This window comes from Homo sapiens, chromosome 1 (assembly GCF_000001405.40).
Source record: "Homo sapiens chromosome 1, GRCh38.p14 Primary Assembly".
Taxonomy (NCBI): domain Eukaryota; kingdom Metazoa; phylum Chordata; class Mammalia; order Primates; family Hominidae; genus Homo; species Homo sapiens.
The window spans coordinates 115,584,935-115,597,040 of record NC_000001.11 but is presented as its reverse complement, the minus strand read 5'-3'; the positions used below and the strand labels follow the sequence as shown (position 1 = coordinate 115,597,040).

The window sequence follows — 12,106 nt, the reverse complement described above, 5'->3', positions numbered from 1 at the left end:
CTGTCTGTGAAGGTGTTTTTGGAAGAGATTAACATTTGAATCAGTAGACTGAATAAAGCAAATTGCGCTCCCTAATTGTGAGTGGCCTTCATCCAATGAGTTGAAGGCCTGATTAGTACAAAATGTCTGCCCCTCCTTTAAGAGGGAAATCCTCCTGCCTGACTGCCTTGAGCCAGGACACAAACTTTCCCTGCCTTTATATTTGCACTGAAATATCAGTTCTTCTTGGGTCTCAAGCCTTCTGGCTTTTGGATGAGAACTCAACCATCAGCTCTCCTGGGTCTCCATCTTGTTGACTGCAGATCCTGGGACCCCTCAGCCTCCATCATTACATGAGCCCATTCTTTCTAATAAATCTCTTTCCAAATATATGTACATCCTGTTTGTCTGGAGAACCCTGACTAATACAAGGGTTATTTGGCGGTTTGGGATGATGTAAAGAGATTAAAAATTCAGAGCTGGCCATGATAATTCTGTGCGTCTGTTCTGGAGACAGAAAGCAACCAGTCAAAAAATAGCAGCTGAAACTCAAGAGACTTTGCCTAAAGATACAGATTTAGGAGTGTTCAGTACAGTTCTCAAAACTCAGTGAGTGCACATAATGATCTGTGCAAAGCAGACACTTAAGAGGCATGGTCCTTCAAGAGACTGGTTCTCAAAATGTAGTCCAGAGACTTGCCTTACAAATTCCTGAGATACTAGTTAGGAAAACACATTATTAGATTCCTCCCCAGACAAACTAAGTTAAAACCTCAGGGTCTGGAGCCCAGGAATTTTTGTGGGGGATCTCACCATGTCACCCAGGGTGGTCTTGAACTCCTGGGTTCAAACGATCCTCCTGTTTCGGCCTCCCAAAGTACTGAGATTACAGCCATGAGTCACTGCGCCCGGCCAGGAGTCCTCATTTTTGACAAGCATCCTAGGTGACCGTCACACACACCAAAGCCTGAGGAAGTGTGCACTGCAAGAAGGCAAACTGCTTTCCTGAGAGAGCTGTCTGACAGGGTGCAGGAGGGCCTCGATCACTAGGTGGCGCCAGACGCACATTTACAGTAATTTTCCAGTGCTGTGGCTTCCTCAGCCAGCATAGAAAAGGAAGCCTCATGGGGCTCCTGGGATTTCTGCCAGCACCTCCTCAAGGGGAGTGAAATACAGAGCTAGCAGGCTGACTAAACTGTAGTCACTGGCACTATCAGTCACCCCCACAATGGTCTGCCTGGAAGAGGCTCCAGTTATTGGCAGAGCGTAAATAAGGAGAATTCTCTGCAAAGCCACCCATTTTGAGCCACAGTGATCCAGCAGGCAGTCTTGGGAAGTAATGGTGTGGATTTCCCAAGACCGAGTCAGGGGCAGAGCTGTAAGAGGCCAGGGGTCCCCCCACATCCCAGACCACCACCGTTCCCAGTCAGGGTATCTTCAGAGAGGACAGAAGCAATCCCTTCTTCTGTCCTAGGAGACCTGATGGTGCTGCAATGGTGCCTAACACTGGCTCTGCCTGCCGCCTGTCTCCAGGCTCAAACAGTCTCCCAGCCTCTCACAGAACTAGAAGCTGACCCTTCCTCCACCCGCTGCTTTCCCCCTTGGCCCCCAGCGCCTCACACTTGAGCTGTTTCCACAGCAACGACTTGCATGCACCTCCGAGTCTCCATGACCTCCTACCAATCTGCACATATCCATGCTGGAGCTTCAAGCACTACTGTTGAGAAGTCGCACCCCTTGCCTGGCATTGAGGACCTGCATCTTCTGGCCCTTTGGTATCAGACTATTGGAGCTCCTTAGGCAGAGAAGTGCTGATGGAGGGGGACTGGGGAGTGAAGAGGAAGACCTGGGGGCCACTGGGCCTCTGGACAAGCACAAAGGCTTCTACTGGATTCTCTGGACCAGAGATAGCCACAGGGTCTGAGAGGAAGCAAGTCAGCTCTGTGCCTGGTTAGACTGGCGAGCCCACCCAGCTGCCCCCAACCCATCCGCCTAACACAAAGCCCAAGGGGCATCACTTCTGCTTTTCTCGACACAGAGATTCTCTAGGCCCTGAGACAATCCTTATGGTTATTCTGGCTACCCTCTCTTTCCTCAGGTCCCTATGCCTCAGTCTTGCTCTTCCCATATTCAGGGCCCCAGAAAGCAACCCATAGTCCAGGTAGGGACAGCAGCACTCCTGGGGCCCAGGGCAGGGTGTGGGAATCCATCCTGCAATAACGGGACTTGGTTGCGTTCCCAGAGTCAAGGAAACGACCACTTACAAACTAACAGGAGACAGGCCTGGAGTGGTTCCAAGGCTGGGGAAGGCTGTGGAAGGAAGGACTGGGGTCCTTGAGTCCTCACACCCAGATCCAGGGGCACCCACCTTGTATTGCTACAGCCAGTTCCCTTCTTCTCACATTCACAGCCTGCTCTCCTCAGACATACCACATGTTCCCTCATGTCCATCGCCACCTGGAGGGCCACATCAGACAGCCAGGTGTGCAGGCGCAGGGCTAGGAGGGCCCGAGTCTCCCCTGCCCAGAAAGCCTGAAATGTGAGCCCTATACTTTCTCCCAATGTGATTATACAGTTATACATTTTTTGTCAAAAACATTAATTAATAATTTATAAATTGCCCTTTTTATGATCCCGTTATAGCTTTTATCCATTTCTTTAAAATGTAGCAGAAGCTTCAACAGACAGAAGAGAACTGGGCCATTCTCAAATCGTGAAAGGCCCTGCTGTAGAGGATCCCAAAGAATCCAACATGGAGCAGGTGCTTGGGTAGAAGAGTCTTAGCTTGTAGCTCCTCCTCTCCCCTCCCCTCCTCTCCTCGCTAAGGAAACCTTTTGGGTTAAGAGAAACCCACACAATAAATTCTGGTCTGGCCTGGACTTGGAGCAGCCCAGCTTTCCCTTCACTTTCTCTAGGTGGGTGGGCCAGCTCTTCTCTGACACACAAGGAGGCTGTGGTCCACCCAAGAGGGGCCAGGTCTCACAGCCCAGCTTTCCTGGGCTCAGCAGCAGCTGCCCCGCCAAAATCCACACACAGAAAGCACTGGGGTCACTGCAGAGCCTTCTCCAGGAATAAACTCCTAGGCTGGGCTCAGTCACCTGGGGCACCCAGGTCCTCAGGGTCCCCAAAACACATACACCTAGCTGGGGAAAAATCACAAATCATGGGCCCTGACTTCTGGAGGTAAAAGCTTGGCAAGTAGAAGCAGTCACTGGGGATTCAAAATGTGTCAAAGGGCAGCAACCAGGTCAGGCAGCTCTTTCACTTACTAACATCATAGGCCCTGGGGATCCCAGGGAGGAAGTGATGATAATAATATAATAGCTACCATTTACTTTGTGCCAGTAACAGAGCTAAATGTTTTACAGACATTATCTACTTAAATCCTAACAACCAAACTAGAATTTGGATACTGTTTTTCTCACTCCATAGATAAGGAAAATTGAGGGCTAAGAGAGATTAGGTAAACTTGCTGGCTCACCCCAGAGAAAGGGATGGAGGATTCCAGCCCAGATCTGCCTCCCAAGCTTGTAGCACTAGGGTTTCATAACCTTATTTTTGGGAGAAGTGGGACAATCTCTCTGCCAGCAAGCAGATCGTGAGTGGGTCAATGCTACGAGGCTAAGAGGTGTAGCATTGTCAAGAGCCTAAACTTGACCTACCTTATTCCTGGTTTGAAAATCTGATCCCTCTTGAAATCTCAATTCAAATGCTATCTCTTCTCTTAGCACAAGCCATCTCTTCATTAATTCATTCATCTATCACTTAGCCATTCATTCATTACTTGGTCATTCATTCAGTCATCCTATTTTCAGCTCCTGTGTTGTGTCATGTGCTGCTCTTTGCCTTCAGCCTCTCAAGATAACTAAAAACATGCAAGTGCATTGAGAATCTCAGAGGGAGAGGTCTTCTGGATAGAGAAGGAATGAGGGAAGGCTTCCCCGAGGAGGCATTTGAGCTGGGTCTGGAAGGATGTTTTGGTTTGGTGTGGAAATCCTTCTGATGGAGAGGTTTAAGTAGAGATTTTAGGCAGAGGAAACAGCATACTACTGTTGCAGAACTTTCTCCTTAGTTCAGCTAAAACTGGGCTCTTGTCACATGACCAGGAAAGATTAGGCTTGCGAACACAACAGAAGGGTGAGGAAAATGGAATTTATAGGGCAAAAAGGAAAAAGAAAAAATAACTCTCAGCAAAGTGACAGAGTTCTGCTAGCACGTTTCCCGTCTCATAGATTGAGTCCTTGGTCACCACACAGGAACAGGAAAGGCCAGGCTCCTCCCCACTGCAAATGGCACAAATTTCCTGAGGTTGCACCCCATCCTCCTACTGCACAGGTGGGCATTATTCAGAAAGAATAAACTGGGAAAGGGCGAGCTTCATCCAGAACTGGCAGTCTGGTTTTTCAGCCTTCAGGCTATTTTAGGCTTGAAGGCGGGGTTTGCTGGGGAGTGCAGGGAACCCTTGGCTGCCTCCTGTCTCTATCATTACCCCTTCTAAAGAAGCACCTTTAACTGCTGTTAGAATAAGGATAAGGATAAGCATGAAGATTGATCTTAACTCCTTCCTGCTGACAGGGGGTGCTGTTTTGGGAAAACAGCAGTCAGATCTCCCTCAGAGGCCTATCTAAGGGTCCCTGGCAGAAGAGGCCATCATCCAAGGCTCTGGTTGCATGACTGTTTGGAGTTTGATGGCCTGAAGGTGAGAAGAGACAAACTGGGTTATTAGAAGACATGTATCAAAATGAAACAAAAGGGGTGCTGGTTAAGGAGAGCTAAAAAATTCCAGGGCCTTTTACCAGTTTGTACAGGGATGGGAAGGGGGCAAAAACTTGACTGGAAAAAAAATTTACCTTTTTTCTGGCATGTCAGGTTTCTGGGTTCCCTTCCCCTAGCCCAATTCTAACCAGTTTAAGGTTTGGGAAATTAACTTTTCCTACTTTGGAGGATGCATCCAAAGGAGTGTCCCATAGTATGGAGACACAGTTACTTATCAGTGAAGAGAGGGAAGAGGAGAAAGGAAAAAAGAAGAATTTTTTTTTCAAAGGAGTCCCAGGGGTTCAGGATGCATTCAAAAGGGGTACAGACTGAAGATGAACGGCTATTCATCTAGAAGAATGGGGAGCAAGGCATCCCTGGCTCCCTTCTCTTCCTAATGAATACCTGGGGTACATGAGGGAGGGAAAATGAGGCATTCCTCTTTCTTTTCACCATCCTTTTATCACCAAGTCCCAGTGACCGTGACAGGGTGCTGCCCATGGGTGTCAAAGTGGCTTTCACCCATGTTAACAGAGGGGCCTAAGGGGTGGGAGTATCTGCTCTTACCCACGTACACTGAATCTCTCCTGTTGTCAGTAGCCTTTGAATTCCCTAGATTTCATTTATGCAATGGACACTAGTGTGACCTTTATCCATGAAATGGGAAGCTTGGCTTAATTGGCAGGAATCAGTCACACTTACCTGTACTCTGCCTTTTAACCTCCATTATTGTCTGCCTCTGGATCCCTCAGATCCAATTTTCATTTCTAGGGCTTTGACCAAAAGCTTGGAATTGAGTTCAGTACAAAAATGTGTCTTGTGGTGGGGAGATGGGAGGGTTGTATGGACTCCTTATCATATGCTGAATGCTAAGGTGAAGCTGTGGAATTGTGTCCTCCTCCAACAAGAAAGAGAAAAGGATGTTTTGTGACATGCCCAGATAACTGGTGGCTGTAGTTATGCTTGCTAAGATTTGGGTGCATGGGGCCTGACTTTGGTCAGCACCCTTGGTCTTACTTTCCCAAAAAGGAAACCTCCGGGTGATGGGCACCCTATTTATTCACATCATCTGGCAGGATTAGCAGGATGATTACTCAGAACTAGAATATTGATCCAGATTTTTATATCATCCATCCCTTTTGTTCTTTCTGAGCTGCAGCCAGAAATTGCTAGTTGGTTCACAGGAAGAAGCAGAGTTAGTCTAAAGTGTAGGCCAAAACTTAAAAAACAGCTAATGAGTCTAGAATCTAATGACAAATGTATGATAAGTTTTGAAATATAATTTCTTTCTCTCCAGTCCTCATTTTTGTTACAAAAACAAATCATGATAGGACTGACTTCTTTGCAAAATAGAAGTTAGTCTTACACTTGGCCTGATTATTTGTATAAAGTGCAGCAATAATAATTATTTCTACATAAGGATTTTAGATTGGCTTTGATGAAACTCTGTTCCACAAGGAATCTCAGATAAGACCTTTTAAAGCCAAGCCCAGCCATTGGTTTTTTTTCCTTGAGTACCTGTGAGTTGGGTAATCCTCTTTTCTTAAGGTCCCAAGATAAACTTGGAGCTCCTGGGCCTGTCAAAAAGTGATATTCTTTACTTACCACAGATCAGGAACCCTGTACAGGGACTGCATAGACAAGGGTATGAGGTCAGTTTTCCCAGGGAGCTTTTATTGGTGCTGCAAGTTGAACTTGACTCCTTAAAGGGAAGCATACCTTTCCAGTTGAAGCCTTGGTAAAACAACCAGTTTCTCCAATTGCATCCAGTTGCAAAAGAAAATGGATTCTTATTGCACTGATGCAAACAACTATATTGCCATAAGTTAATAATATGTACAACTAGTTTCCAAATTGTGGAGAAGCCAGGCAAAGAGAGAGAGAAACAAATATGCTCCAAATTTTGTTCACAGGAGTATACCTTACTCAATTATTAAAGGCCATAAATAGTTCAAAATAAGTTTCCTTGATTCTGAAAAACATAACGAGGATCAGCATTACTCCAAACAAAAGTCGAAAAGATTGCTTCAGTGTTATATTTCAGTCCATTTAGCTAACTCTTGTTTTGCTTGATATTCATGAACATTTTAGCTCTTCAAGAGTCCTGTGTGTTTTTTCTTTATTCAAGTGTTAAAATCTCCGAATGTATCAGAAACTTGTATTTGAGAGCACCTATCAGAGTCCTATAGCTTATTATAAGCCATTTTTGAAAAGGATCAAAACAAGACAGCAATTGTCTGTGAATAACAAAATGTCCAGGGTAGTTGCAGTTAGAAACACAATTGACAAAGAAGTTCGGTTATCTATGTGGTTTATAGTAACTTAACAACCTTAATTATAATTGATAGCATACACTTTAGACATTAGAATTTTAGAAATCCCATACAATTATGAAACATATATTAGTATTATTCACCAAAATATAACTGAAAGAAGATTGAACACTATTTTGGCAGTCCCATGTAACTAAACATGTTCAAAAATGTTGTTTCCCTCTCTTCTGGATACTTCAGGGGCCCTCTGTAGCATCCAAAAGCCAGGCATTAGGAAAGACAATTTTGAAACTGAAGTTTGATTTTGGGAAACTTGTTAAATATGTTAGAGGTTTAAAATACTTGCTGTCATGAAATAGAATTCCAGATTACAATTTATTTTGCCAAAATGACTCAAAATTTTAAAAAGCAAAAACCTTATATAACCCTTTACAAATTTTGCTAAAGAGCAGATTAGTGCCTTCAGATTACATTGTTGTACTTTTATTTCAATGCTCAATTTACAGAGAAACCATGTAATACCATTTTGAATTTAGTCAATATGTTCACACATGGAATTTTTTGCAAGATTAACTTTGACAATCCTTCCATCATTTTTTTTCAAACATCCAGCTTTATATTATCTAATTAAAAGCAATCCTTTAACCCTAGGTAAGAATTTACATTTCCATGCCTTCTTACAATCTTTTACTGAAAACTCTTCTTACTGTTCTTACACACTTCACATGTAAATCTATTTCTAGTAGTTGCAATTACATGTTATAATGGTAACTCCTAGCAATTCTAACTTTAATGTAAAACCTGATAAGTTGTTTTAATTATGTGCTAGATGCAGCCAAGGTTTGACTCCTTCCAGCGTAATTAAGGGCATGGTTAATTCCATATATCCCAGTCCTTACCAATGGTGAAGCCAGCAAGTTGAAAATTCTTAAAGGCAGTTTATAACCTTAAAACATTTAGCAAACCTAGTATCTTACCTGCATAATTTAGTTTACCTATTTACATTTTGATATCTGCATTTTACCAATAATTTTTAAGGCTGTTTTTATTTCTCAAAGATTAAAGTCATGTGAACTAAAAGGTACCACAGCTTTTATCTTCCCTTTAAAAAATATTTGATCCAAGCACTTGTATTCCTTTAGGCCAATTAATTAGAGCTCTTTTTTATAGACATCACATACACAACACATATATAACTACAGAGACAGGCATAAGAAAACCCAGCAGCCATAAGATTTTTTGTTTGCCAATCTCCTAATTGGATTATTGGACTCTGAGTGGAGCCCTTTAAGAGACAAGATTAGGAAAACATTCCACTTTTAAGGCCTTTTAATAGACAGGCATAACTGTGAGTCAAAAACAGACTTTGAGAGGGATTGATCTGCCTTTAATTCCTGGGGTTTCATGAGAAAAACAGAGGTATCTCTCCTCTTGTGCATGCATGAAAAGTGGCAAAGTAAAATGGAGAAAAATAATTCAGTCAACCAAAAAAAAATCTTTTCCAGCAAAACAAGGTCAAAGTAAAGAAAAAAATAAAGGCCTTTTAAATATACCTATATCTTGTGTACCCACTTTTAATTAAGCTGAATGCTATTTAAGAAAATCCTTTTAAATCCCCTATTACCTGACTTTAGCCACACCAAGTGACCAATAATTCTGGCTTTCAAACTTTATTAAAGGCTCAGAGAAAGGAAAATCCAAGGTGATTCATGGTGGAGGGGAAGAGAATCAACAAATACAAAGGTTGCACAGATATCAAACCAGAAAGGACTCATATCCTAAGCCAAAAGTGAATCCAGCTGCCATTGTGAAATGGCAGAGGCTAAGCAAAACATTGCTACATAGTTACAGGTCATACTCCCAAGGATGTAAAACAAAATGAAAGCCTACAGCAAAGTTTGCTACTGACCATAGAAAAAGTCATGCAAAGCACACCAGATTGGCTACAGCTTAAGACCAACCTCACAAATTCTTTTTCAATATTAAAACTTTACAGAGAATATAAACAGTGATAGTTGGGGTCCCGGCCTAGTAAAATATTTTCTAAAAAGAAAAAAACCTCTCACATAAAAATTAACTGCTGACAGGGTAGAGAAAAGGAAAAAGAAATTAAAGTGCAGGGTTGGAAAGATGCCTAGGGGAAGAACTTCTTATTCATATGCCAATGGGTTCCTCTAGCAGGGAGAAAAACTTAAGAAGGGAGTTGGGGAGCCACCAGTTCACACATCCATCCCAAAAAGAGAAGGAAAAGGCCAACATTCCCTACCCCTGGGAGCAATGTTCCGTGGGGGCATGATTTCCTCTAACCTCAGAAGAAGTCCAGGGACAAAAAGGCTTAGATGCAAAAGGAAAAAAGATTTTTTGGTTTGCACGTTACTCACCCTTCCTCAAGCCCCATGTTGGGTGCCAAAAATGTTGCAGAGCTTTCTCCTTAGTTCAGCTAAAACAGGGCTCTTGTCACACACCCAGGAAAGATTAGGCTCACAGACACATATAAGGGTGAGAAAAAATGGAATTTATTGGGCAAAAAGGAAAAATAACTCTCAACAAAGCTAGAGAGAATTCTGTTAGCAGCTTTCTCACCTCACAGATTGAATCTCAGGTTGCTACACAGGAACAGGAGAGGCCATGCTCCTCCCCACTGCAAACAACATGAACTTCCAGAGGCTCCACCCTGTCCTCCCAGTGCTCAGGTGGGCATTATTCAGAAAGAATCAGTCAGGAAAGGGCAGGCTTCATCTAGGACCTGCAGTCTGGTTTTTCAGCCTTCAGGATGTTTTAGGGTTGAAGGCAGGCTTTCACCAGTTCTGGGGGCAGGGGACACTTGGCTGTCTCCTGTCTCTATCACTACAAGGTCAAATCCAAGAAACTCTCTCCACCAGACATCACCTGTGATACCTGTACATTTGAGCAAATCCCTGTCTTCTTAAGGTCCCCTAAATTTGCTAAAGTCCCAGGCTTTCCAGGAAGTGATCTTCCTTACTGCCTTTGAGAATGAGACTTTATAAACCAGGACCATATTCCCAAGGGGGATTTGTATGCACCAGCTCTATAAGTGAAGTCAACCCTTGTTCCTCAAAAGTGGCTGGTCATACTGAATTCAGTGAGGATTATTCTGAAATGTGACACTCCAGCTAATGCTGCACGATTTGTCCAATCATATCCTGGTAAGAACCTATGCAAATAACTATGTTGCCACAGAAAGCAAGGAGACTCATAATTTAGAATTTCTGATCTGGGGTTCAGGAATAATCAGGTATCATTTTAAATTTTTTACTTGAGTTTACAGAAATTGAGTTTATTAATTTTTTTGGATCCAGAAAGCTCAGGAAGAGATAGAATACATATCTATATCTATAGCTATATATTCTACATGTACATATGGAAGATAGACCACTAAAACAATATCAACAATATAAAAAATGAACAGTTACCAAAAAATTTCCTTCATCAGTTTATTCAGTCTTATGTAATTAATTTTTGTGTTAGATCTTGGGTTAGCAGTCTGCTTTCATGAAGCTATCTATTTCTAGACTAAAAATGATTCTGAAAATTCTGACTGATCCCACTGCTGTGGTATGAAAGTTGTCTAAGCAATGTCAGCACAGAATCTTGGACCTAAAAGTCTATTCTTTGAAGTATTCATAGTTTGTATAGTCCTTTTTCTCAAGGCAGGCACTGTGGTCTTCTTTATTGAAGAAACAAATGCTGACCTGTAGCTTTTAGCAGAAACTTTAAGCAAGTATCTGGATGAAACAAAAGCTATCTGTAAATGACAATGAGACAGGCAATTCTATGGACCAAACTATACAAGTGGAACTGACCCACGACTGTGGCAACCAGCCTGGGAAGCCAACGTACTTTCTGTAGCAACCAGTCCAAGAAATCAGATGATAACCCTGGAAGCAATTGTCCTCAAATGGCCAGGACTTGATTCATAATTGATAGTTTCCCTAATTTTCACCCCTGCTACCAATTTTAGAACCAACCAGAGAAAGCCAAGTATGTTCCCCAACCAATCACACAGGATGCCCCACTTCCAGCTGGCCCACCTACAACTTCTCCAGGCCAACAGCCTTTAGTAAGGGCACTCTTGAAGTCTTCCCTCTTCCCACTGTAAAGCTTTCCCACTCCTCTGCCTGCCTTTGAATCTCTGTCAAGATGCAAGTGCTGGTGGCTCCTTTGCTATAGCAAGCTCAGGATAAATAGGCTTTCCTTGTTTTCATTTGGGTTGTCTCTATTCACTTGCATAACAGAGGCTTAATGGCTGCAGTTATTTTATAACTATTTTTTTTGAGACAGAATCTCACTCTGTTGCCCAGGCTGGAGTGCAGTGGTGCAATCTCAGCTCACTGCATTCTCTGCCTCCCAGACTCAAGTGATTCTCATGCTTCAACATCCCAAGTAGCTGGGATTATAGGCATGTGCCACAACACCTGGCTAATTTTTTGTTTTTAGTAGAGATGAGGTTTCATCATGTTGGCCAGGCTGGTCTCCAACTCCTGACCTCAAGTCATTCACCCATCTCATACTCCCAAAGTGCTGGAATTGCAGTCATGAACCACTGTGCCTGGTCTATTTTATAACTAATAATTTTCAAACCTAAAAGTTCTGATGAATGTTCTTAAAATAAAAAATGCAACTGTTGAGGAAATTTGCTTGTTTCAAGGCATGTAAAGATTTTAAAAATCTTGAGGTCAACATATAATAATCCTGAGACATCATTTTTTTTCTGAGAATATTAATTAAAAAGATTCAGTAAGTATGGAGTAGGGGCTAGACATTTATATTTTTATAAAACTTCAAGAATAAGTCTGATCTGCAACCCAACTTGAGAACCACTGGCCTAGAAGATGCTTTATGCAAATTAAAGAAGTAAGATTGTGGCCAATTAAATATTTCAATAATATATAAAATTATTACAGATAAGGTGACCTAATATCAGACAAAGTACCTCCAGGACTCTGATAAGTATAGGAAAAGGCAGCAGAGCTATATCATTAGACTTTTGATTGGTGTTATTCTGAGGGTGAAACATACTATTACAGGACACTTCCAAGACGGCAGAATAGGAACAGCTGCAGTCTACAGCTCACAGT

General features: G+C 42.5%; 1 annotated feature.

Annotated features, from left to right (window-relative positions):
* Positions 879 to 1,173: an enhancer, noted in NCBI's record as "tiled region #11441; HepG2 Activating DNase matched - State 12:CtcfO, and K562 Activating DNase unmatched - State 12:CtcfO". NCBI's record gives its function as "activates a minimal TATA promoter and a strong SV40 promoter by Sharpr-MPRA in HepG2 and K562 cells {active_cell/tissue: HepG2 | K562}" and the evidence as "EXISTENCE:reporter gene assay evidence [ECO:0000049][PMID:27701403]".